The sequence below is a fragment of the Homo sapiens genome, chromosome 6 (assembly GCF_000001405.40).
Source record: "Homo sapiens chromosome 6, GRCh38.p14 Primary Assembly".
NCBI classification, from domain to species: Eukaryota; Metazoa; Chordata; class Mammalia; order Primates; family Hominidae; genus Homo; species Homo sapiens.
In genome coordinates this window covers 56907284-56935207 of record NC_000006.12, presented here as the reverse complement: position 1 = coordinate 56935207, position 27924 = coordinate 56907284, and the positions used below count along the sequence as shown (strand labels likewise).

At 38.8% G+C, this 27924-nt stretch overlaps 1 protein-coding gene across 4 annotated transcripts in view, besides 3 other annotated features; it reads left to right on the top strand.

The window, feature by feature from the left end:
- DST (dystonin) overlaps nt 1-27924 on the top strand; it is a 496835-nt gene that overhangs the window by 19623 nt on the left and 449288 nt on the right. The window lies entirely within an intron of this gene.
- Nucleotides 6943-6992: an enhancer, noted in NCBI's record as "active region_24707". NCBI's record gives its function as "activates an Ori minimal core promoter by ATAC-STARR-seq in GM12878 lymphoblastoid cells {active_cell/tissue: GM12878}" and the evidence as "EXISTENCE:reporter gene assay evidence [ECO:0000049][PMID:35858748]".
- Nucleotides 19650-19819: an enhancer, noted in NCBI's record as "experimental_92364 CRE fragment used in MPRA reporter constructs". NCBI's record gives its function as "activates a minimal promoter by MPRAs in K562 erythroleukemia cells, with activity observed for both the introgressed and non-introgressed 6:56780272 variant alleles {active_cell/tissue: K562}" and the evidence as "EXISTENCE:reporter gene assay evidence [ECO:0000049][PMID:34662402]".
- Nucleotides 22937-23106: an enhancer, noted in NCBI's record as "experimental_92363 CRE fragment used in MPRA reporter constructs". NCBI's record gives its function as "activates a minimal promoter by MPRAs in K562 erythroleukemia cells, with activity observed for the introgressed 6:56776985 variant allele {active_cell/tissue: K562}" and the evidence as "EXISTENCE:reporter gene assay evidence [ECO:0000049][PMID:34662402]".

The following is a 27924-nucleotide window of genomic DNA, read 5'->3' as shown; positions in this document are numbered from 1 at the left end:
ATCAGCTGTTCTGGGTGGGAGATAAAATTGGGAAATTTTGGCTGGCTACTGCTATATTACAATTTCTCTAGAAACTTCAGTTAATAATGGACTCAAGCATGCCTTGAGCTGTTCGCCGAGAAACTATGGCAACGGGCCTTTTAATTAAAGCTGAAGTAGTGTGTGTAGCTTAGGAAAACGGAGATACTGCCAATTGATAGGGTGACAGTATGGGAATCATCCATGAAGCTAACAAGAAATTTCTTTTTAGATATATTTAGTTAACTCTTTTTTACCTAAGTTGCTCAAAGAAACACTAGTAAACTCTTTTAGTGGACATCAATATTTGGCTTTGGAATATGTTACAATATTTTTTAAAGAATATATAGCTTCCTAATTTTTTTTAAGAATAATATTAAAATTATTTTGTGTTTTCTGAGTATATGTTAAACTGAGAGTTGGAAGTTATTGGAAGGGTCAGCCTAGAGGCATCCTTAATGTCAGAGGGCAGCCAATCTGAGATAGTTCACAAAACCAATGATCTCTCCATTTTGGTGATGGAGACATTAGTGTGCCTTAATTCTCTCTCTCCATGTCATATTCTCTCTCTCTCTCTCCCCTCCTTCTCTCTCTCTCACGATATATATATATATATATATATATATATAATATAATATATAATATGTATATTTTATATGTATATAAAAGTGCACTAGTGGGCTGATGATTGACAAATTAGTAAACTGTCCCCCTCTTGAGCTAACGCATTTCCAGGCAGTGTGCTGGAATTTATAAGCCCAGACCATAACAAAAGTGATTTATTATTGTTAGCTTTCCAAATTAAAAAAATAAAAACTAAGTAGAAAAGCAACAGTTGCCATTTTTTGAGGGTCAAGTATGTGTTATGCTAACAACCCCCAGTGATGGGCAGATTCTATTAGCCCTTTGGTAGGGGCTGAGGAGGGGGAGAATTTGAGTTTAAGTCTGTTGTTTTAGCATCCCATCTTAAAAAGTGTCCCTGTTTGAGGATAAATTGCAGTCACCTGGTGAAGGCAATCGCTAGAAAGATGAGTAGCATCTAATTAAATAAAATGTTCTACTTAGGAGGCTGAGATGGGAAGATTTTTAGAAGCCAGGAGTTTGTGACCAGCCTGAGCAGCATGGTGAGATCCCCATCTCTAAAAAATAAAAAATATATATATGTATATAAAATAAAACAAAATGTAATAGTGACAAATGTAAAAGCCCTTAAGCCAGAGACAATGTAGGAATTGGCTCTTACAAAAGCCTGTTATCTGGTTTCCTTGGCTTTGGGTTTCAGTTCACTTTTTATGATACTGTTGGCAGAGTAAGCTATCTGAAATAAGATCTGATCTTCCACTCCTTTTGCTTAATGGCTTTTCTTTGCTTAATGGCTTCCCGTTGCTTACAGGATAAGTACACCCTTTCTTGGTATCAGCTCCCACATACCTCTAATGCACACCTTAAACTCAAACAAGACCCAGCTGCTTGGTTCCCTACCCCATTCTGTTTTCATGCCATTGCTCATGCTGGAACCCCTCTATTCTACTTTTTTGTTGTTGTTGCAAACTCCCATTTCTACTTAAAAATGAGGATTAAACATCATTTTCTTCCTTTCTTTATCTCACATTCTTCCCTTAGTCTTCCTGGACATTCTCCCCTCTTGTTATTGAACTGAACTAACTGGGGCCTGCTCACCTGGCACGGTAAGGCCAAACATCCACACTGAGGTTTGCAGTGGAAGAAAGGAGGGCATTTATTTGCAGGGTGCCAAGCAAGGAGAATAGTGCAGCTTATGCTGAAAGACCTGATCTCCTCAATGGCTTGCAAGTCGAGTTCTTAAAGGCATGGTTAAGTTTTAGGAAAGCAGAAGTTACAGACAAAATCATAAATCAATATGCAGAGGTTACACATTGGTTTGGCCTACAAAGGGTGGGATATCTTGAAGTGGGGGCAGGTCATAGGTAGATTAAAAGATTTTCTGTTTTGCAATTGGTTAAGGAAGGGAAGCTTTGTTTAAGATCTGGGTCAGCAGAAAAGATTGTTAGCTCTGGTTTCTGGTGTGACTTCTTTCAGGACCATCAGGAAGAAATTTACAGCAAAGAGAAGTGGTCAGAGATCAGTCCTCAGTTCCTCCTATCTGAGGTCTACATGCTGTTCGGTGGGGGTCTGGGTTTCTGAAAAACAACTCAGGAACATATGTTAAGATTTTATCTTTACTTTCTATAGAGAACCAAACATTGTATTATTTTAACTTCCTGGGAGATTGTTTTAAGCTACTATTACCTTCTTGCTTATCTAGTTGCTCATTTATTTCTCAGGGAGACCTAGGTACCTGGAAATTCCCTTGAAGGAACTCAGGATTTTCTATTATTTCTATGCTTGGGACCCACAGACCCCTAAGAAGTGTCCCTGCTCCATCTCACTCTGGGACTGGATGAGGGCACCAGATATGGGGATTTACACACCAAGGCAGGTGGTATGTAATTTTTATCTTGTATCCATAGCCTTGTGTGGCATCTGGCATGGAATAGGCACTTACTATTTGTTGAATATTTGATGTTGGCTAAATATTTGATGTATATAGGAATGGAATTAAGTGAGTAAACTAGAGTTACCAGGCATATTTGAGAAAATACAGAGTAGTTGAACTTCAGTTCAGCTGTTTTCCCTCCTCCTTCTCTCCCACCCTTCTCTTGCCTCCCGGCTGCCTGTTCCTCCTATGCCTGTTCTGTGGCTTTCCAGAATACCCTGGTCAAGGAATTGCTCTTCCCTTAAATGCCCCTCTATTAGTCCACTTCCATTCTGCTGATAAAGACAAACTTGAGACTAGGTTTGGAAGACTTTTTCTGGAAGAAAAAGAGGTTTAATTGGATTTAAAGTTCACATGGCTGGGGAGGCCTCAGAATCATGGCGGGAAGCAAAAGGCACTTCTTACATGTTGGTGGCAAGAGAAAATGAGAGAGAAGCAAAAGCAGAAACCCCCCATAAAACCATCAGATCTCCTGAAGCTTATTTACTACCACGAGAACAGTCTGGGGGAAACCACCCCCATGATTCAAATTATCTCCCACTGGATCCTTCCCACAACACATGGGAATTATGGGAGTACAATTCAAGATGAGATTCGGGTGGGGACACAGAGCCAAACCATATCATTCAGCCCCTGGCCCCTCCTAATCTCATGTCCTCACGTTTCAAAACCAATCCTGTCCTCACATTTCAAAACCAATCATGCCTTCCCAGCAGTCCCCCAAAGTCTTAACTCATTTCAGCATTAACCCGAAAGTCCAAAGTCTCATCTGAGACAAGGCAAATCTCTTCTGCCTATGAGCCTGTAGAATCAAAAGCAAGCTAGTTACTTCTTAGATACAATGGGGTTACAGGTATTGGGTAAATACAGCAGTTCCAAATGGGAGGAATTGGCCAAAACAAAGTGGTTACAAAGGCCCATGCAAGTCCAAAATCCAGCAGGGCAGTCAAATTTTAAAGCTCCGAAATGATCTTCTGTGACTCCAGGTCTCACATCCAGGTCACACTGATGCAAGAGGTGGGTTCCCATGTTCTTGGGCAGCTCCACCCCTGTGGCTTTGAAGGGTACAGCCTCCCTCCTGGCTGCTTTCACAGGCTAGTGTTGAGTGTCTGCAGCTTTTCCAGGCCAACAGTGTAAGCGGTTGGTGGATCTACCATTCTGGGGTCTGGAGGTCGGTGGCCCTCTTGTCACAGCTCCACTAGGCAGTGCCCCAGTAGGGACTCTATGTGGGGGCTCTGACCTCACATTTCTCTTCTGCACTGCCCTAGCAGAGGTTCTCCATGAGTGCCCTGCCCCTGCAGCAAACTTCTGTCTGGGCATCCAGGCATTTCCATACATCTTCTGAAATCTAGGCGGAGATTCACAAACCCAAATTCTTGACTTCTGTGCACTCGCAGGCTCAATACCACATGGAAGCTGCCAAGTCTTGGGACTTGAACCCTCTGAAGCCACAGCACTCTTTGGGGACACAGAGCCAAACCATATCAGCCCCTGAGCTTCCAAAATACCCTTTGCCTTTCTTTCCCAAACTTCTACCCTCAACTCCAATCAAAATGCCATTTCTTTACTGAGGAATGCAGCTAGATATAATTAGGAGATTATCACATCAACCTAATTTATGCCAGGCTATAAATGACTGACAGTGAGGCAGCAGGAAGTGTTTTGATTTTGAATTCCACAATATAAGTGATTGATTTCGTGTTCAAATTTCTGACTGTGTATATAACCTTCTCTTTCACATTGTATATTAATGACATCCTAAACATGTTTTCATGCAAGGGTTTTGGATTTTGTCATGCAATCGTGACAAAGGAATATTCTGAGAGCTGCCTGCCTGTAACCAGTTTCAGCAACATTGCTGTCTTTGTTCAGCAGCATTTGTGCAATTATTTGAATATTTTATTGCTTTTTCATATCTTTCTTATATAAATGAATGAACACTAGAAAAATTACTGATAATGCTGGTGATGGGAAATTAGGTCTTATATAGCAATTCACTTCAGATAAAGATATAAAAAATCAGGTGAGCCAGAAAGAAGAAATTCTTAGCTTCAAGTGGATACTCTCTGAATTAAAGCCCGTCTAGAATCTGTTTTATTGGTAGGAAAAGAAGCAAAAGCAAGGAACTGTATGGAATTCTGGAAATCTATCATTGAATATTGTATACAAAAAGGAAGATATAACTAAAGATTTTTAATCCTATATTTTAGTTTTTGGGCCCTGAAATCCAGTTTCTCATGAGATTCCTACACATTTCATTTTTTTGTGTGTTTTCAAGAAAACATTTTACACACAAGACAGGCTGCTGATAAAAGGTTAGGAAAAATGCCTGGGTTTCCTTCAAGCTGTCCCTTCTTCGAAGTCATTAATTCTTGCCTTAGATCTTTTCAACAACTGGAATCTAGGTAATAGCTTTGCTGCAACTACTTTAGTAGATCCCAAAGTTAGGGCCCTGAAAAACCAAGATACGGCATAGGCCTGTTGGCTAGGCACTGAGTGCTACAAGATGAGGCCAGAGGTCTGCAAACCATCATCACCTTCCTTACCTTTTGGTGTCCTTACCCATACACAATTACCAGATCCTGGAGGCTAGCTCACTTTGTGCCATTAGTTCTGAAGGGCTTGGTCTTATTAACCCAACTGAGAGGAGCTTCTGTCAGAAACTTAAATGGAATACAATCAAGTTGAATAAGACTTGTCTCTACCTTTGAGGAGTTCTCTTTTCATTTCCTTTATCTTACAGTGATGGGTGATCAGATAAGAAATGAATCATTCATTGAATTTAGTGTTGATGCTCTTTTCTTCTCTTGATGCTTCTTTTCTTCTCTTCTTTGGCTATGCCTGCATTTATCTGAAAGTTTTCTATACGTTTTATATAGAATTAAAGGTAAATTGGGTTTATTAACATTTTATATATGTTTTGTATAGAATTAAAGGGTAAATTGGGGGATTAAAAATTTAGTGTGGCAGCCTTTGCTGTTATTGTTTTTATTTGTTTGATTTTTGAGAAGGTAAAACATTTACGTGATTCAAAAATCAAAGCATATAAAAGTATATCAGTGAGAATTCTTTATCTCATTCTTGTTTTTTATTTCTGGAAGAGGAAATCTAAGTAATGACTATTCTTAGTTTCTCTTAAATCCTTTCATTATTTTTCCATACACAAGGAAATAAAAATATATTTTATTTTACCCTTTTTATATGGATAGTAGTATATTGTATACACTGTTTTGCATCTTGTTTTATTCACTCAATGTATCTTGAAGAGCTTTCCATAGAGAAATACTTCTTTTTGTAGGTGCATAGTATTCTATTGAACGCATGAACATAATTTAGCTAATCATCCGCCTATTAATGTATTTGGGATTTTTCTAATCTTTCATTATTACAATCAATGCTGAAATGTAAAACCTTAGCCTTTTACATGTGTGCAAATGTTATCTGTGGGATAAATTCCCAGAAGGAGAATTATGGAATCAAATATTTACATATTTTGATTTTGGTAAATATGATCACATGGCCATTTACAATGGTTTATTTTAATTATCAAAGCTTCATAATATGTTCTAGTCCTCCCTTATTGGTATACTCTTTTAGTTGTATTCTTTTTATTCCTATGTGAATATTAGAATTGGGTTGTCTAATTCCAAAGGAAAAAAAATCAGTATTTTTGTTGAACATGTTAAATGTGAATTTTATTAAAGGATAAATGGAATATTTATGATTTTTAGTTTTCCTATCAGTAGGTATACTTTTCTGTTAGTTCAACTCTTCTTTTTTGGCAGAGTTTTTTTCATGTATTTCTTCCATATTTCTTGTAAAAGTATATCTAGTATTTTATTTTGGTTGTGATTAAAAACAGGTCTTTTTTACATTATGTCTTCCGTTTGTAGTTTCTGTAAGTGAAGCTATTGGTTTCATTATCTTAATCTTATAATCTGCTAACTTATCTTACTGTTTGTAGTGGATTTTATTATAGTAGAATCTCTTGGGTTTTCCAAGTGTAATAACATATCATCCGCAAATAGTGATTATTGTATATCCTCTTTTCCAACTTTTGCATTTTATTTATTTCTCTTGTATAATTGTATCGGCTAGGACATCCAGCAAAATGTTAAATAATAGAAATAAGAGTGAGTACCTTTTTCTTGTTTCTGACTTTATTGGGAAAGTCTCTGATGTTTCCTTAATTAGCATAAGTGGGCTTTTGGGTTGAGATAAATCTTTGCTGGTCATTTACTCTTGGTCTTCCAGCTTCACCTCACCTTTCTATTCTATACTCTCTGGTGTTGGGGCTGGGACTCCTTTGATAGCACAGTGGGCTGCGTCAATAGGGGGCACTGGAGGGGGTTTGGAAAATGATAGCACTTTCTGGTGGGCTCTGCCAATACGAGGTACTAAAGGGAGCTTGGAAAGGGGAAGTGGGGAGAAGCACTCCCTGTCTCTCTTGCTCTTCCTGTCAGAGGTGCCCCAGTAGGGGTATCTCACCTCAGCTTTATGTATTTATTTTTCTAGATTGCCAGAGCCAGCCTCATCACTCCGCCTTGTAGGTACCAGCAGCAGCTAGGCAGTGCTCCCACCTCAGAGGTATAAGCCCCAACTCAGATGCACTTCCCTCCTCTGAGCTCCTAAAGAACTAACAGCAGCTGAGCAGCTGAGCAGTGCCCCCTTCTCACAGGTCTGAGCCCCAGCTTTGTGGGGCCCTTCCTTTGAGCTCCCATGATCTTGTAACTTAATCTCATCCTTTGGAACCCCTCAAACTGGAGGTGGTAGCTGCTTCCTTGCATTTATGGTCTGCAGGTTGCTCAGTGTCCTAGTTTTGCTGTTCTAGTCCTCTAGTACCTGTTTAAACAATTCTCTTTTTTAAATCCCTCCTGTTGAAATATCTAATGTGCTTTCTGTTTTCCTGAAAGGACCCAATCCTGAATGACTCATGCATTCCTATTTTATTGAACATTTTTGTCAAGATCAGTTGCTCATTTTTTTCTAATTTTTTTCTCTTCGTCAAAGGGGGTGATTGTATGGTTTTTCTTTTTAGACCTGTGAAATATAATAGGAACTTTTCTAACCCTAGACACTTCTAGACACTTCTAGAATTTCTGTAACAAATCTCCCTTCATCATATTGTATTCTTTTAATGCACTACTGATTCTACTTGCTGATATTGTAATTAGGATTTTTGTATTAATATTTATATCTGAGATTGGTCTTAATTTTTCTCTTTCAGGGAAATCCATGTCAGGCTTTTATTTCAATGTTATATTTGCTTTATAAAACCTTTGGATCTCCCACATTTTTGCTAATCTCTGGAAAAATTCAGATAGCATTTAACATTAACATTTCCAGGCTTTTGTTGTTGTTTTGTCTTGTTTTTATTTTTTAAGATTTGGTAGCATTGCCTTATGAGACTCTGGGTTGGGTACTAGTTTGGTATCATATAATGGGAAACTTATTTCATTAAATGAATCCAGAAATGACTAATAGATAAAATGATGTTTGTGTGTTCTGCATTAGCTGAGCTAGTTAAAAAAAAAGCTTTTTTGGCTACCAGCATTAGTTTAGATCAAACTGTGAAACAGGCAGCATGTCTCTGGTGCCCTTTTTATCCTTTAATTATTGTACATATGCATCTAATTAATTCTCCCTCTTACCTGCTCTTTTCCCTCCTATGCTGTTGCCAGTCTCTGCTGAAGTTACCTACTGATACTGTTTTTGGAGGTATGACTCTGCATATAAATATTTGCATTTTCATAGAATTATGAATATGCTCTTGGCAGAATCTTGGGTCCTGGTGCTGTATGTTTTGTGTCCCTTCTTCCTTCTAAGTTCTTCAAGTACATGTATTCCTGAGGTGAAGCATAAGCGTACCAGTTTGAGGAGAGCATATCCTCCCATTGACTTAGTTACACGATTTAATAAGCTCTACACTCAGGAACCTTAGAGAGCCTTCAGTCTTCCTCTTAATAAAAAGAGGGTCGCCACTTAACTACCTTTAGTGTGAGTAAAGGAAAAGGTGGAATAACACCTGTTATTGTGAACTCATCGCTAGCTGCCTGGCTCATCATTTCTTTTCAGTGCCTTCATGCATCCTCCTCTCTCTGACCAGCAGGTCTTTCCTTGACTTTGTCCCTGTTGAATCCTCACTGGTTTTTGAAGCGATGGCCTTGGCTTCCCTCACACAGTGGTTCCTCCTTCCCCTCAGGAACTGACCCCCTCCTCAATTTCCCCTTACGGTCTCCTGAGCTTACTTCTATCATGTTACCATTATTGCATTGTTTACTTATAAGTCTGTCTCCTTCACCAGGCTGGTTGCTGCTGAGGGTGCATTCCATGTTTATTCTCTTTTGTTTCCAATGCTTAGCTCACTGCTGTATATATAGTAGGTTTCAAAATATATTCGTTGAATTACTGAATAAATGAGACCCAACAAAAAGTGGAGAGAAAGAAAGATGAGTGGCAAATGGGTAAATGGACTCTGTAGGAACTTTTAGTACCATGCTCCAGACATGTTCCAGATGCTAAAAAGGTTTTTTTTTTAAATCCACCTGTACTATATGAAAAGTAAACATAGTGTTTCATTCAGAGTGAACTTAATTTATATTTGATTTATGTTCACATTGTGGATGCTTTTCTGGCAACACACTTTCTACATCTGCTTACTCGAAGGCATATATCAGAATAAGTCAGAAAGACAGTTTCAAGACTATGAAAGTCTAAAATCCTCTGGTAGCTTTATAGTAATTTAGCTTTTGGATCGGGAAATTTTGGTTTATTTTTCCTGCATCAGGAAATTATGTTCTGCTTCAGGAAATGATGATAGTAGAGATAAGGGAATCAAAGGGATTAATAAGGGATGCTAAAAATAGATTCATTGGGAGATAAGATGACCTGAAAGCAGAGGATTAAATTGAGGGGGTTGAGGGAAATAAAACCTATTTCCATGATGCTTCCACTTGGAAAGGATAAATATAAAGAGAACTTGGGATTATGTTTAGCTTGAATGTTTTCCCATCTTGAGCTGCTGGAAAAATTCTAATCGGCAAGCTGTGTTCGGAAGACAAAGAGAGGAATTTAGAATTCTTTGGAACTGCTTTAGCCACCAAAATTATTCTGAACTGTATAAACATTGTGATCCCTTTTCCCACTCAAAATGTAGATATATAAGAAGGCCAGTTTTTACCTGTAAGTCAATGTGGGTGCCTATCTCTTTTCCCTGTTTCTGCCATCTCTGCCAGGGGCAGAGTGTGCTTTAACTCCTGACTGCTGGCTTTGCCAATCTCCATAGGGTCTAGGTGAGAAAAGTCATATGCTCCCTATTAATGTTATTTCGACTGTATGTTTTTTAAAAATAATTGATTGGCCTAGCATTATTATGCTAAGAAAGCTTTTTAAATGGACTGACCATGGAGATGCTCAAATAGATGATTTTTAATCCCTATGAAAAAAAACAACACTAGTGTGATGTTAGCCAGTTCCATCAAAGTTTGGCATGAGATGGAATGTCCTGATCCTCTTCCTCCTATCTTATTAAATTAAAGAAATACTTTTATTAAAGCAAGCATTTGTGATATGGATTTTTCTTTAAACTCAAATGACCACATATAGAACTCAGTGTCCCCCTCCTCCCCATCTCTTTCCTACTATGCTGTTGGTAATGTACTTTTCAGTCCTTTGTTACAGGTGTTCTAATTATAAAAGGAATAAGCTGGATTAAGTAAATTTCCATAGCACAGGAAAGTGGCCTCTAATTAAGCCTATTTTGAATTTTTACTGTGAATGAGAAGTTACTTAGGAACATTTTAGGGGACACAACATAGGGTGAAATGAGAGATCTCTCCTGCACTGTGGATGGAGAGTCACTTATTCAAACACATATGTCACTTATTTTAACTTAATCATAAGAAGTATGGGCTTCTTGTGATTAAGTTAAAATAAGTGACATATATGTTTGAAAATTAGAAATGATGGCTTTGTATGTTTCCAGTACCAAAAAAAAACTAGCTCTCTTTCTGTGTTTAATTTATTGCCTTGGTAAAATTTCCTTCACCATAAGAGAATATTAGTAGAAATCGAAGATGACCAAAGCTGAGAAGAAACCAATATAATTGCTTGTATCGGCAAGACACCATGCTCTCAGATTTTCTTGTTTAAGCATATTAAACCTGTCCTCAGGCTATCTTTGAACACAGAAAAGCTGAACTGTGTGTGTATGTATATACATACAGATAAACACAAATATAAATATTAAAAAATATATAACATCAGTCTCCATCCATTGGTGAGCTGGAGCTGGGGATCAATATGCATATAACTGGCTCTCCAGGGAGAGCTATCTGATAGGGAGCTATATCAGCTAGGGAGAGCCAGTTTTATGTTTATCGTTCCAACTCTGCGTTCAGTGATATCATGGCCATGATGGGAGTGTTTATACCATGAATTTTGGCAAGCACTATGTGATGGTTAATTTTATGTGTCAACTTGGCTGGGCCATGGGGTACCCAGGTACTTGGTCAGACATTTATTCTAGGTGTTTCTGGGAGGGTTTTTTTTTGAGATGGTGGCTTGCTCTATCGCCCGGGCTGGAGAGCAGTGGCGTGATCTCGGCTCACTGCAACCTCCGCCTCCCAGGCTCAAGCGATTCAATTGCCTCAGCCTCCTAAGTAGCTGTGACTACAGGCATGTACCACCATACCCTGTGAATTTTTGTATCTTTAGTAGAGATAGGATTTTGCCATGTAGGCCTGGCTGGTCTCAAACTCCTGACCTAAAGTGATCCTCCCGCCTCAGCCTCCCAAAGTGTTGGGATTACAGGCATGAGCCACCATGCCTGGCCATAGGGAAGGTGTTTTTGGATGAGATTAACATTTAAACTGGTGGATTTGAGTAGACTGCCTTCCATAATGTGGGTGGGCCTCATCCAATCAGATGAAGGCCTTAATAAAACAAAAAGACTGACCTTCCCCTGAGTAAGAGAGAATTTTACACTTGAGTGCCTTCAGATTTCAACTGGAACATTGGATCTTCCTGCTCAATGGCTTTTGGACTAAAACATTGGCTTTACTTGCATCTCCTGAACCACTGGCCCATCCTGTAGATTTGAATTAACCAGCCTCCAAATTGCCTGAGCCAGTTCCTTATCTGTTTTGTTTCTCTGGGGAACTCAGACTAATACACCCTACATCAGGATTTTTTTTTTTTTTTTTTTTTTTTTGCCAGTGAGCCGGTTTACCAGCATCCACTCTCTCCATCTAATCCAGGGAAAAAAATCAAAATTCCCAAATAAGTACTTTCTGATCACTGTCTCTGTCTAAGCTAAGGAAAAAAATCAACAAGTCCCAAATAAAACTTCCTGGTAGGTAATCTTTTTAATATTCAGGCAGTTTCCTTCTATTCTTATTTTACTCAATTTTAAAATCAATAATTTCTCCTGAACTTAATTGAATTTTAAAAATTTAAGGGAATTTTTGAGGTACCTATTGATATAATTATTTCTCCTTTAATTTATAACTGTAGTGAATTACAGTAATGAGTTCCCTATTGAATCAGCCATGATTTCTTGGAATCAACTTTATTTAGTCTTGGAATATTATTATTTTAACTCACTTTGATAGTTCTGGCAAGATTTTATTTAGGACTTTAAAACTTATATGTTAGATTGATGTATACTTTATTTCCTTGAGTTTATCAAGTTTTGTTTTTAGATTGTGCTAGGATCTTTACATGAATCTAGAGTTATTTTTAGCTTCTTAATATTAATTTTAATTACTTTGAAACAATAAAATTTAGTAATGTTTAACAAGCACCCATTATAATTGCTAAACTGTGAAATCAGCATTATTTGTATCTGACCAGCTGTACAAAGCTCATCCATTTTTCTTTTGACAAAAGGTAGTAGAAATTCCAAACAATAAAGAAGAAACTACTCATTAAAAGTCATATTTGCTAATCTAGCACCATAATTCCAGTCTTAGAACCATTCATGCAGCTGGAAGGAGGATATGGAAGAGGTGAGAATACCAGAAATGTAAGGGTAGTTCTCAAATTGGGGCCCCATTTTGCTTGCTCTAAGGCAAAAAAAACAGAGGGTTTAGCAAAGAAGAAGGTCACTGAGGCTAGAGATGCAAACAAAAGCTTTTGGTTCAGATGGTAAAGGAGACCCTCAAGAGAGTAGAATCAGTGTATCTATAAGACAGTGCCTCATGAACTAGGCTCCAACCTTCTTGGCATCCAAGTCCTTTTTAATTTCAAGTTTTTTAGCCAGGTTTTGTATAGTATGCCATAGTTCTGAGCCAGTTACATTCCAACCACATTGCCCAAAGTAAATCAAAGCAGGACCTGGACCATGATGTTGGTAGGGAAGGTGAGGAGGGAACGAAGGGCGGCTGCAGCTCCATGGGCTGGCCTGATGAGAAAATTTTTATCTTTTTCTATTTCTTAGAATAATTTGAAAAATATAGGAATGACCTGTTGTAGGTTAGATAGAACTTGACTGTACACACATAGCCCTTTTTAACATAAGCAGTATGCTTCTGGAAATGGGAGTGCTAACTGAATCAGTGCATGGGAAAACAGAGATTTTAATAGTCAATGGGAATAGGAACTTATATATTTTAATGATATATATATATGGAGAAAGGATACATACGTATATATGTATGTATTTAAGGAAATAATTTCGTAAACAGCAATATAATAATAATTCAGTGCTGTGTGTTTAGCATTTAATGGGGGCTATGTGTGCAAAGTCTTTGTGCCTAGAACCTTTTTTCATGTTAGATCTTTCTCCTATCCTCTTTTGTATCTTCTATGGTTATAGTCCATTTAGATTTTTCTTCCTTTTTTATATGTTGGAGATAAATATACGAAATAACAAAAAGATCCTTTTCTGCCGGTAGTCTTCACAGTTTTGATTGCACCCCCACCAGTGAAATAAATTTGAGCATGCACACTCAATATGTATATGTATTTACGTATCAATTATATACATATACATATACACCTATTCTAATATATTATGTAAAACAGATTTCAACATGAGAAAAATGCAGTTAAATGTGCTTCATTATTTTAAAAAATCTTTAACACTATGTGAATTAGTAATTCAATGTCTGGTTTTAAAGTCAGTTTATTTTGATATTTGATTTTAGTCATTGCTATCTCAAAAAAAGATTCAAATGGAAGAAATGCATTGATAACTGCTCTTACTAATCACGATATTTGTTTTTCAAGTTCATCCATAGATTATGCAAAGTTATTTAAAAATAAAATTTACTAGCAAATTTTCATCTTTCTTGATGTCAACTGATTTTCTTATAATCTGAAGGTGTTGATATTTCTACTTTTAACAAATGATTACAGAACTCACTGAAGATCTGCATTTAGTTGGCTTTAAAACATATTAGAAAACTCTATTTTCAGATTTTAAAATCTGCAAAATTAGAGCTTTTCTAGATAATAAACCTATATTCTTTGGGAGGAACAGAATCACATGTTAGTAGAAATATATTCAAATTCATATTTTTGAAACGCTCTTTCTGTTCCAGAAATTTAAAAGAGCAGTTCCTTTCTCATTCATTGTTCAAATATCACCTTTATTTGTTTGATTTATTTGTTTAAAAATGTCTGCTGCTCTATTGGGCGTGGTGGCTCATGCCTGTAATCCCAGCACTTTGGGAGGTCAAGGTGGGAAGATCTCTTGAGCCTAGGAGTTCCAGATCAACCTGGGCAACGTAGGGAAACCCTGTCTCTGTGAAAAAAAAAAAAAAAAAAAAAAAAAAAATTAGCTGGGCGTGGTTGTGTGTTCCTGTGGTCACAGCTACTCCGGAGGCTGAGGCAGGAGAATCACTTGATCCCAGGAGGTCGAGGCTGCAGTGAGTGGTGATAGTGCTACTGCACTCCAGCCTGGGTGACAGAGCAAGACCTTGTCTCAAAAAAAAAAAAAAAAAAAGGAAGAAAGAAAGAAAAAGAAAAACCGCTGTTGATGGCATCTTGCTATTACTGAAAGTTAGTAATTTTGGAACTCTTGTCTTTCTATAAAATAAAGCTGCATAATTTGCTTTTAAATTTGGCAGTGCTTTGAAGTACTTTTTATAGACAACCAATGAAACTCCGTGATCCAAAAAATTTTTAACGGTTGCTCACTGTAGTAGAGACTATGAATTTCTACCAAGAATTATTCTTTTCTTTTTGTAATAGAAATGTCCTGGTTGTAGCTGGGCGCATGGTGAGCGAGCTAGAGACTTCATTTCCCAGCCTTTCATGCAGATGTGTGTGACTCTATGGCTAAGTTATGGCCGATTGGATATAAGTAGAGGTGATATATACACATTCCAGGTCAAGCCCTTAAAAGAATCAGCTTGCCTCCTATAGCCCCTTTCTTCTCATGCCTGGGAAGGAATTGTGGTGGTAAACTAGCTTCAACCCTGTGGGCAAGTAATATTGGAGGGGAAGGCTGAGCAGTGATAGAGTAGGATCTTGGGTTCTTAGATCCCTTGGTTACTGGATCTTATTTTAATAGCTGTACTTTTGGATCTCTTTGTTACAGTAGCTAGCCTGTATCTTACTACACTTTTTATCTCATTGCAATGCAGTGTAAACAGTCTATATATTTGTTGTTTTTATCAAAATTTTTATGTGTTTATATAATTGCTGTAAAAATAACCACATTGATTGAAGTGGTGCAGAGCAGAGTGTTTAGATATATATATCCTTCTTTTTTCCCGGAGACAGAGTCTCACTGCGTCACCCAGGCTGGAGTGCAGGAGTGCAATGGTGGGCTCTCAACTCACTGCAACCTCTGTCTCCGGGTTAAGCAATTCTTCTGCCTCAGTCTCCCAAGTAGCTGGGATTACAGGTGCATGCCAAAATGCCTGGCTAATTATTGTATTTTTAGTAGAGATGGGGTTTCACCATATTGGCCAGGCTGCCCTCAAACTCCTGGGCTCAAGTGATATGCCTGCCTTGGCCTCCCAAAGTGCTGGGATTACAGGTGTAAGCCACCTTGCCTGGCCCAAATATATATATCCAAATTTATGTAGGAGTTTAGTAAATAATAAAGATGGGCATTTGGAATCAATAGAGAGGCACTAATGGTTGTTAAAGTTGGGTGATAGGTACTTAGGGTTCTTTTTAAAATCTTTTTATATTTTGGAATTTTCTGTAATAAAAAGTTAACATATTTAGGAAATTAAAAAATGAATACAATAAATTCATTGGAGAAAGGATAGTTAAGTAGATGATGTTACCCACTTGGCAGGAAATAAAATTAGTTGTGTCTCTCACACTATACTTAAAAATTAATTTCAGATGGATTAAAATGTACATATGATTAATTCCAGATGGATTATAAGTGTACATTTACAGGATTTAAAAAAATAGAAGGTATAGGAGAATGTTTTATAATTTTGCAGTTGGGAAAAGCTTTCTAGGACAAACATTTAAAAGTCATAAAGGAAAAGATTGGCAGTTTTGAATAAAAGAATTCTAAACTTATGTACAACAAAATGAAAAGACAGATTGCAACCTAGGCAAAAATACTTGCTGCATATATAGTAAATTATTTTATTCATATTATATAAAAAACTTCTCAAATCAATAAGAAATACATATAAGTTGTACAAAAATGAGCAAAGCATGTGAACAGACAATTCAGAGAAGAAAATAATTCGGAGAAAAAAATGGCTTATAAAAATATAAAAAATAATTTAAAAATTCAGACAATTCAGAGAAAAAAATGGCTTATAAAAATATACAAAGATTTTTAACTTTACTAATAAATAACGCAAATTCAAACTCACTCCGTCACCCAGGCTGGAGTGCAGGAGTGTGCGATCTCAGCTCACTGCAACCTCTGTCGCCCGGGTTAAGCAATTCTCCTGCCTCAGTCTCCCAAGTAGCTGGGATTACAGGTGCATGCCAAAATGCCTTTTGTCCATCACATAGGCAACAGATATAAAGATTTATATTATCCAGTGTTGATGGAGATAATAGAATTAAAAAGGCACTTTCATAGTGTTGCTAGAAATGTAATTTGGTACATTTTTAGAGACAAAGTTGGTACCTGTAGTATCTCTCAAACTTTTTCCTACGGACTGGAAATACCACTTCTAAGTAAAGAAGATTTAGTTGAAGATATTTTGTTTATTCCACTGTTTATACTGGAAAAAAATTAAAATGTCCGAATTCTAGTCAGTAGGAAAATAGTTAAGTATGGTACGTGCATAAACTAGAAAATTATTCAGTTGTAAAAAAGAGGGTGTGGTGGCTCATGCCTGTAATCCCAGCATTTTGGGAGGCTGAGGTGGGTGGATCTCTTGAGGTCGGGAGTTTGGGACTAGCCTGACCAACATGGCGAAACCCTGTCTCTACTAAAAATACAAAAATTAGCTGGAAGTGGTGGCACGTGCCTGTTATCCTAACTACTCAGGAGGTTGAGGCAGGAGAATCACTTGAACCCGGGAGGTGGAGGTTGCAGTGAGCCAAGATCATGCCACCACATTCCAGCTTGGGTGACAAAGCAAGACTCTGTCTCAAAAAAAAAAAGAAAAAAAAAAGAATGTACACCTGAACCTGAAATGTCATAAAAAGAGCAATGTAGAAAACATATATATAAAACAAGATCCCATTTTTGTTGAATTATTTTTATAGGAGAAGTCAAGATGATAGGAACTAACATCACAGTGATTACTCTAGAGGGATGTATTTGAAGATTCAAAACAGGGACATTCACACTTATTTATAGGGTTCAAAAAAGGGTTGCAATTTTAGGTGGATTTAGTTTCTAATTTGTTTTTTTCTGAAATTTTCACACAAGTAGATCTTTAAAAAGGAAAAATCAAACCCAAAGCATATTGAGAGTCTATTTTGTGCCCAAACATAAGTAGGAGCAATGAAGGACACAAAGATGAAAAAGAAGCTGTCCCTCCCCTTCATATCCATGATAAGTCAAACTGTGGTAAGTGCTATTTAAAAAGCCACATTGAAATAAACTTCTTTTAAATCAGTCTACTGGGAAAAGTCAACAGGAATAATATGATTCAGGTTAAAAAGTTCATAGCTCTTGCCTAAATAACTGCAAGAGGGGCAAGAGAAGGTAACAAAAATCTCTTCAAAGCTTTTAGCTACTGATCTGGATTCAGTAACATCATCTTAGGAAAAGGAGTCAATACAAGGTGACTTCTTATGCACAGTTTATGCAGATATCCATGTAATGCATTGTCAAAGACAGAGCAGAAATGAACAGTAAAAAATGCTGTAGCCACCACAAAATGGACTAGCCACAAGCATTTCTCACAAACCTTTGATTAACCATCTTTGTTTAAAACCTGCTCCTGTTGGCTTTCCCTTCTGCTTTTTCTCTGTCTTTACTCAGCATAAATTATCAGAAGATTTTAGGTCATGAAAATATTTTTTCTCCTTTCTTGCTAAGTGTGTCTTCAGAGTAAGCAGATTTTTGAGAGAGAATGTGCTGCCAGAAAAAGCATTTAAGACTTGAACACAGACCAAATACACATTTGATCTATGCAAGGGCAAAGGTTCAGCCCCCAGACAGTGGGCAGGAGTGGTCAGTCCTTTCTGCTGTGTGTATCCTCAGTGGGCTATTGCTGTTTCTGAGAAATACCTGGTCCGAGCAGTGTGTGTTAGGAGCCTCTGCCTGTCTTTTTTTTTTTTTTTTTTTTTTTTTTTTTTAGCATGCCTGGGGCTTGATGGCGAGTCTTGGCAAGCATCCATTTCATGGGGGCCCAGTGAATGCTGCTTCCCTACCTTAGTAATGTAGCTCACCTTTGGGACTTGAAATCCTGCCTGGAACTCCAGCCCAAAAGCCTGAATAGCTTTTCTCTCTCTGTCTCTCTGTGTGTGTGTGTGTGTGTGTGTGTGTGTGTGTGTGTGTGTGTGTGAGAGAGAGAGAGAGAGAGAGAGAGATAGAGAGAGAGAGAAGATCTTGTCTCAGGGCTGGAGTACAGTGGCCCCATCATGGCTTACTACAGCTCGACCCCCCAGGCTCAGGAGATCCCCCCACCTCAGCCTCCCAGATAGCTGGGGCTACAGGTGTGCGCCACCATACCCAGCTAATTTTTTGTATTTTTGGTAGAGACAGGGTCTCACTATGTTGCCCAGGCTAGTCTCGAACTCCTGGGCTCAAGCGATCTGCTCGCCTTGGCCTCCCAAAGTGCTGGGATTACAGGCATGAACCACTGCACCCAGGTCTTGAATAGCTTTTGTTAAGTTCGGGCACTGGCAGGAGTGATGCTCAAAATATTTAACAACCAGTAGAAAGTGGGCACTGAGCAGTCAGAAGAGTTGCCAACTGAAGGTCCAATACTTTGTAGTTTCTAGATCCTGGGGGAGGTTCAGGAACTCTGGGGAGGGTGTGTGCAACAACAGGACACTCAGGGGTCTTAGGGCTTCTACCTCTTATGGCTGTCCAGGTCCTGCTGTGCTTGAACTAATCACCTAGTGTCCTATGGCTCTTCTCTGCCTGGCTTTGAGGATTTGATTCATGGATCCTCTCATGGCTGTGCTGATGTATGAGCTCTTGCCTGTACATATTCATGACGCTTAGCCGACTTGTCTTGTTACTTCCTCCCTATCACCTATCTGCCATCTGAGCTAGTCTGAACTATATGAACTATCTGAACCGTCTAAACTATCTGCCATCTTCCCATCTGCCTTATGGCTTAGCCTGCCTCAGTCATGATAGGGTTGGCTTCAATGCAGGAAATTCTCAAAGAAGGTGTTAGGATTACATTGTATCTGAAGACAAAGATATTACTGGAGAATAGTTTGTTGGGGTTGCTATTGATATGGCTATCGTTGTAAGATTAGTTTAACCACTCATTCTTCCCTTGCGTAAAGTATTAACAGTTCAGTTTGCATATACATTTAGGTCTTTATTCTGTCTTCTTGTCCTCTCTTGTGTCTTGAGTGATTTCTGATGTACTGCCTGATACATTGACTTTTGTCTCCAAAGACTGATTTTGTAGTGGTATTAAAAGTCACTTAAGGATGCCCTTGAAATAGACTCAGTTAGGACTTTGCTGTGACTTATTGCAAATTAGCACGTTTTTTTCCTTTCTTTTTTTCATCTTGTTTCTTACCTTTTTTTCTGTCCCTGTCTTCACTCTCCACCCCCGTATTTTGTGCTGCACACTCAGTGGGCTGCACAACCTCATCTATCTCAGTTGACTTTCCTTCCTGTGCTCTTTTTGTGGCCCATTTTCTTTTCTCACCACACCTCTCTAGGCTGTCTTCTTATGATTAGTGTTCCTGGCCTTTGCTTAGTGTGAACATTTACCACTTCAGAAATCTTGCTGTTTGGGTGCTATTTGGCTTCTCAGAATTTGCAGTTGGGAAGTTGTAAATGCCCCATAAAACATGCTTTTTTATTTTATATTTCCTAAGTTCTTGTCTTGAGAAGGACGTTATCTTAGATATACATATTTTTAAACCGTGACTCTTTTTATTTGTAGACATGGTCACTAGTGATAATGTCTGTGAGTAGTATCTCAGAAAAGGCTGCATGCAAACAGATTGTGCTCACATTTAAAGAATCATCTATAAAATCCCTTGGTCTATAATTATGAAGGCTGGGTTATGATTTGCTGGTGGCACAGCTATTTATAGAGTCTGTCATTGCGCATGACTGTCTGTGCCCGGGGCTGTGGGCCCGTTGCTGAGAGAAGCTGAGCTCTGGCTGCCGCAAGAGCAGATTGCACTGACTGCTGCTCCTGTTTCTCAGTCAGCCTTCCTCATTTGCCTTCCTTAGCTTTGAATGGAGCTTGTTTCTCTCTAGAACTCTTGTCTATTCCCACTTTGCTTTTTCATATGGTTACTGTTACCTGTTTTTGATGTGTATATTGCCCAGTGTTTTGCCATTACTCTCATTTTTTGTATTGATGAGTTTTCTGTCCTCTAGAAGCTCTTTGTTGCTGGATCTTTCTTGTCATTGAATGTTAAATATGGTTCGTAAGTTATTGATGGCACTGTTCAGGAAATCAGACTGTTTGTTTCAGGTCAGCTTCCCAGAAAAATAGACTTTGAGATGGAGACTCTATGCAGGAGATTTATTGGGGAGTGCCCTCGGGAAAAACACCCTAAAATAGTGAGGGAAGCAGGATTGGGCCACGGAGGAATTATGTTGCATATGCCAATGGCCCCAAGATCCCACAGGAAGTTTCAGAGTTGTCCCTAGTTGAAGCAATCACTAGCCCTTCCCTGTTGACCAGCATTTGGCCTGGGGGACGGGATGTGACAGCTAGCTCTTAGGCTGGAGGGCAATTCCCAGCTAAAAGCCATGCTGCCACCCTCTCAGCAACTGGCCCAAGGAATGGGGGAAAATGTGGGGTATGCCCCACATTATCCAGACTAGTTGTAGTTTTGAATATAGTGTAATTTCTACCCTCTTTTAATTTTAATATGGATGCAATGTTGGTTCCTTACTTAATATGGGTGCATTGTTGGTTCCATACTTAATATGGATGCATTGTTGGTTCCATAAATATGCCTGAAAGCCAAGCATATTTATTTTCTTTTTATGGTTCATTTTGGTACAAAACATGAAGTTGATGAATTCAGTCTAAGAAAAAATAAGAGTGTAGGGCAATTTCAACAGAATAAACCCTGGCTTACTGAACAGCCACTGTTCATAAAAGTCTGCTGTCATTCAGTGGCTAATGACTTTATCCCTAAAAACCAAAGCTGGAGATGGGAAGGATAAAGGATTGCAGTAGGGTTGATAAAATTTGTGCAGACTTTTGCCTGGTAGTTGCAGTCTAAATATAAAAAAAATCATCAGATTAGGAAAATAATCCAACTGCATCATCTATGTGTTTGATGAAATAACATAACAGATGCTGTTTGATCTGCCTAGAAACTACAAACAGATGGAGTAGACACGGCTGCCAGAGGGAAATTAGGCTGACCTTATATTTCATAGACTAGGTTGTTGACTGAGAGTACAGATTAGCAGACCAAAACATCAAGTCAAAATTATTTTTCAGTCTGTGTTAGAAACAGAGTGCTCAAGGCCCTACAGGGTGCTATAGAGCAGGGGTTGGCCACATTTTTCTGTAAAGGGCCAGATAATAAGTACAGTATTTTTGACTTTGCAGGTCATATGATCTCTGTTGCAGCTACTTAACTCTGTGTTTGTGGCAGAGAAGTAGCCATAGACAATATGTAAATGAATGGACATGGCTGTGTTCCAATGAAACTTTGCAAAAACAGATGGTGGGTCAGTTTGTCCGAAGAGTGATAGTTTGCTGACCTTTGGTGGAGAGCACATATCAGGTTGCTGAGTTTCAGTCCTCGAGCAGATACTTACAAAGTATTAGGCAAACTTCTAAGTGTCCATTTCCTTATCTGTAAAATGGGCATTGAAAAAGTATTTACCTACTAGGAATATTACAAGAAATAGTGAGATAATGCATGCATAGTATTTGGCACATAGGAAATGCTTGATAAGTAGAAATAATTGTTGTTTATGGAGCTGTAAAGAATTAAAGAGAGTTGAATGTAGTTAGGAGCTGAACAATGCTGGAAAAGTGTTAGATAAATGGGACTCAGATTCTGTTTGGCTATGTAATAAGATGTGTCAATGGAGCTCTTTTTGTCTTAGTTTTGTTTGAGGCCCCAATAGTTGTAGTCAGAAAGGCTCACATTGCCAGAGAGAGGAGTAGAGCCCTATGTAGGAGGTAGCTATAAATTTGATTTTGCCACCAGCTCTGTGGTAGACTGTGTTTTGCTCACCAATGTCTGTGTTCTCTTATTCTTGGCACATAACTAATTTTTTAGCTTCCCTTGCAACTTGGTGATGACCTTGTAACTGGGTTCTAGTTAATGAAACGTAAGAAATGATGTGTGCCATTTACAGGTCTGATGTACTGAAACCATGCACACAATCCTGGCCCTAGTTTCCATAATCCAGCAGAGTGGAGAGGATATTGAGAACCTAAAAAGCCATAGATGGAAGGTGCCTGGTGTTCTAAATGACTCTGTGGAGCAGAGCACCACCCCCACTTGCTGATCTATGCGTGACATGAGCGAGGCATAAACTTTTATTGTGTTAAGCTCCTGAGGTTTTGGTGTTGCTTGCTGTAGCCGTTAGTCTATGCTGATAGTTATAGTCAGCCATCACCGATTTTAGGTATATGGATAAAGGCTAAGGTTTCATCTGTGAGAGGTTAAAGAAGTGCTGTTCAGTAGAACTTTCTGTGAGAACACAAATGTTTTATCTGTATTATCCAATAGGGTCTCTACTAGCCACATATGATATTGAGTACTTAGAATATGGCTAGCATGCTTGAGAAGTTGAAATTTTAATTTAATTTTAATTAATTAAAATTTAAATAAAAATATGTGGCTGGTAGCTACTCTGTTAGACAGGTCAGGATTAGAGACTGGGGAATGTCTTAGCAGTGTGCTGCGCCCGACCCCAAGACTCCATAATAATTCCAAAGGGCCAGAGACTGTGGCTGGACCACTGTTCTAATGATGGAATGAGCAGAAAGGGCTGCACTGGAAACAGCCTGCTCTCCCAGAATTTGTTGGGGCAAAGGATACATGAATATTTCTTACAGCTGTCTTGGGAGAAAGAGCCTGGAGTCACTTTAAACCCCATCTAGGAGGAAACCAAAAGGAGTGATGTGACCTCATTGGAATGGTATGCTTTTGTGACTAGAAGTGGTTGGGAGACTTTTTAATTATCTGAGAATGACCAGAAAAATTATAGATCTACACAAAATCTTATGTAGTATTGAGAGAAAAGGAACCCCTCATTGTGGATTTCAGAGGTCGACCAGGAAAGAAAATGTAGTTTTTTTCTGAGTGTACACTATGATCCCTGCTTGGGCTAATCTAACATTTATAATTAAAAAGCACTTTAAGCTCTTTAAAGGAGAAGATGCTGTATCTCAAGTAGCTTCAACCTCGTAGTCTTTGTTTAGTCTTTTCCCCACCCGCATCCAAGACTGTGTTTAGTGTCTTAGGCTCATTTGGATGCAGAATCAGAGACATACTATATTTTAAGGCATGTTGTATGTATAATTTAATGGAAATCAAAGAAAAAGATCCATACGAGGGTCTGGCTTTACATGGATAGAACTGGAAGTTGGTTACAGATTAAAGGCCTCACTCCCTGCAGTAGCGAGATGCCGTAGGAATGACTCCATTCCACTCCACTAGCTGCTTCTTTTCCTTTTGCCCTTTTCACTTATGATTTCTGGCCCCTGATAGCCTCAGCCTATACCAGAGGCACACAGTTTCCATGAATCCTTCTACATCCTTGTTACTCAAAGTTTGGTCTGCAGACCAGCAGCATCAGAATACCCTGGAAGCCTGTTAGAAAAGCAGACTCTCAGGCCCCACTCAGACCCACTGCATTAGAATCTGCATTTTAATAGGATTTCCAGGTGATCCATGTACATATTAAAGTTTGAGAAGCACTGATCTATAGAATTAATTCCCTCCCTTCCTCCTTCCCTTCCTCCCTTGCAGCCTCTATGCTAAGCAGCCCAGGCTCTCAGTTTTTCTCAGACTCTCAAAGCAAAAACTCTGATAGACACAGCCTAAGTGTCAAGAACCAGCAACCATAACTGGAGGGGTGTGAGGCTACAGTACAAAACATGCTTCCTCAGGCAGCAGGGACTGTGGGTGGAGCCTTTTGTTTAAGAAGGGAATGTTTGACATTATTAAGAGATTTTAAAATATTTTCATTTACAAAACTGCACCTAAGTTGTAGTTCATTTGCAATTTAGAAAACATTAAGGCTCTCTGATTGTTTAAATCAGTGCTTCTTACCAGCAGGAACTAATAAGCAGTTGATATAATATCAGTCAATATGAAATAAACACTGTATTACTAACCTGTGAAAGTTTATCTAAAATAAATGTACAGGCCGAGCACGGGGGCTCATGCTTGTAATCCCAGCACTTTGGGAGGCCGAGGTGGGTGGATCATTTGAGGTCAGGAGTTCGAGACTAGCCTGGCCAACATGGTGAAACCCTGTCTCTACTAAAAATACAAAAATTAGCCAGGTGTGGTGGTATATGCCTGTAATCCCAGCTACTTGGGAGGCTGAGGCAGAAGAATTGCTTGAACCCAGGTGGTGGAGGTTGCAGTGAGCTGACAGCATGCCACTGTACTCCAGCCTGGGTGCTGGAGTGAGACTCCATCTCAAAATGAATAAATAAAATAAAATAAAATAAAATAAATGTACAATTCAGCTAGGCACAGTGGCTCATGCCTATAATCCCAGCACTTTGGGAGGCTCAGGTGGGAGGATTCTTGAGGCCAGGAGTTTGAGACCAGCCTGGGCAACATGTGAGACCTTGTCTCTTTAAAATATTAAGTGGATGTAGTGGTGCATACAGGTATTCCCAGCTGCTCAGGAGGCTGAAGAAGGGGGATCACTTGAGCCCAGGAGTTCTAGGCTACAGTGAGCTATGATCACACCACTGTTCTCTAGCCTGGGCAACTGAGCGAGACCTCATCTCTATAAAATAATAAATAAAAAGAAATGTGCAGTTCCCTAGACTTTTCCAAAACAGACTCTTTGTTGTCATCATAACTCCAGGGACCAATGTTCTATACCAAACAATGACTAGTTATTAGAAAAGATTTTAAAAAGGTAATATTTTGCCCCACTTTCCTTTACTTGCCAGGGAATACATTCTCTCTGAAAACAGAACGGTATCTTCTAGATACATTATTTTTTTTCCCGGCTGACAAAGTGACTTCCAGGACCAATCTTTTAATATAGGGTTATTAAAACAACAAACAGTTAAATTGCTCTAATCCTGAGGGTCCCCCTGCATATAGCACGATGGGATACAGTATTATTAAGACCAAAACTACTCATTCACCACACAGTAAGGGGCAGGACCTTTGGTTTCTCAGACTGTACTCACATGATGGTGGCATCAGCATCACTGGAGGATTTGTTAGGAATGCAGATTCTTAGCCCTATCCCAGACTTAATGAATCAGAAACTCCGAGGGTGTGGCCCAGAAGTCTGTATTTTAATGAGCCTTCAAGGTGGTTCTGATGCTTGATAAAGTTTGAGAACCAGTGAGTCAGGGTAGTGCAAACTCCTATAGCAAATATATACTCATTGGCTCAAACAAAATACAAATCTGTTTGTTGTTTATTTAAAGGTACAGGTGTGGGTAAACAGGTTGGTAGAGTGGCCTCTTTCATGTAGTTATTCAGGGACTTGGGCTGCTGGAAGCATGGTTGCTTCAAAGGTCATGCTGGCCAAAAGAGGAGAAGAGCATGGAGAAGTGGCTGTGGGAAGTGTTTATATGCTAGGTCCAGAAATGGCTTACATATATACACATTTCATTGGCTAGAGCTCAGTCACATGGCCTTATCTAACTGCAGGGGAGGCTGGGAAACGTAGCCTAGCTTGTGACCAACAAAAAAAGGCAAACATGGATAAAAGACAGAACTATGAAAGAAACCAATTACATTGAAATATAAGTTATTAGAAATATTTTTGACAGCAGCATAGGTACTTTTTAATTAATGCGTTGAATAACAAGATCTAGTGGTGTTACAGGAAAGGAGTCCTGATTGAGACCCCCAGAGAGGGTTCTTGGATCTCCCACAAGAAAGAATTCAGGGTGAGTCCATAGAGTAAAATGAAAGTAAGTTTATTAAGAAAGTAAAGGAATAGAAGAATGGCTATTCCATAGACAGGGCAGCCCAGAGGGCTACTGGTTACACATTTTTATGCTTATTTCTTGATTATATGCTAAACAAGGGGTGGATTATTCATGCATCCCCCTTTTAGACCATATAGGGTAACTACCTGACCTTGCCATGGGATCTGTAAACTGTCATGGCGGTGGGCGGAGTGTAGCAGTGAGGACGACTGTAGGTCACTCTCATTGCCATATTGGTTTTGGTGGGTTTTAGCCAGCTTCTTTGCTGCAACCTGTTTTATCAGGAAGGTCTTTACGACCCGTATCTTGTGCCAACCTCCTATCTCATCCTGTGACTTAGAATGCTTTAACCGTCTGGGAATGCAGCCCAGTAGGTCTCAGCCTCATTTTACCTAGCTCCTGTTTAAGGTGGAGTTGCTCTGGTTCAAACGCCTCTGACAGTGGCACATTTACTAACTACTGTGATTTTGAAGTAACAAGTATAAATAGTATTTCAAGAGATCTGCAGGCACTACAACTTAATATTTAAATCTATGATGACTTTTGGTGGCAAAAGTCACAGGTACTGTTGATGATACCAGGTTTATGGCCTACATTCATAATTGAACCATATTTTAAATTTCAATTATAAGTTATTGAAAATCAAGGCATATTTTTTCTGCATCCAAGTTCGTTGACTGCCCTCTTCATCTCTCTCAAATTTTATCCATGGATCAAAGAGCTTCTACGATACACTTTATTTCTAGCCTAGGATGAAGGGAATCTTTTGATTTTTTAATGGAGCATTATAGACTTTATAAGTAGCAGCTTATTGAGCTTTATAATATTTACATATGGTAAATTTATATCTTGTATAACACAAAAGTAACATTATATATACATATATGTGTGTATATATGTGTGTGTGTGTGTGTGTATATATATATATGTATTTTCTTTTTTTGTTTTGACGAAGTCTCACTCCGCCTCCCAGGCTGGAGTGCAGTGGTGCAATCTTGGCTCACTGCAACCTCCGCCCCTGGGCTCAAGCAATTCTTGTGCCTCAGCCTTCCAAATAGCTGGGATTATAGGCGTGTGCCACCACGCCCGGCTGGTGGAGACGGAGTTTGACCATGTTGCCCAGGCTGAAAAGTAATTCTATAGCAATGCTCAGTGGGTCAACGTGTTAATTTTTCCTCTTTCCAGATGCGTAATCAGTAAACTTGACAGTAGTTTGACCTTATAAAACAATAATGCTTACCTAAAAATGTTATTTTTTTTTCCAATTTCTGCCTCATTCATCTAAATTGTTAATAGATCTTTTCTTGTTTTAATCAGTCAACATATATTCCTGAGCACTTCCAGTCCTGTGGATACATGTAGAAGATTAATTCTGAATGCATTACTGCCTTATAATCTCTTTACATAAGAGCAGAATGTTGAAGGGCACTGGTTGGAGTTAGATAAACCTGGGTTCTAATCTGGGCTTTTCTAATTGCAACTTTTTGCCTTTAAGCAGATTACTTAACCCTGAAAAGCCTGTTTGCTTGTTTCTGCAGGGTGTATATAGGCTAAGTGCCTAAATGGCGCTAAGTAAATTATTGCTATTAATATTTCCTCCCTTTTTATGCCCATCTACACATACACAACCAAACAGCCTGGTTGTCTGAGAATTCAACCTCCAAGGAAAATAGCTAACCACTTGCAAGCTTTAACAAAAATTGTGTGCGTTACAGATTTTTGTTTGTAGGT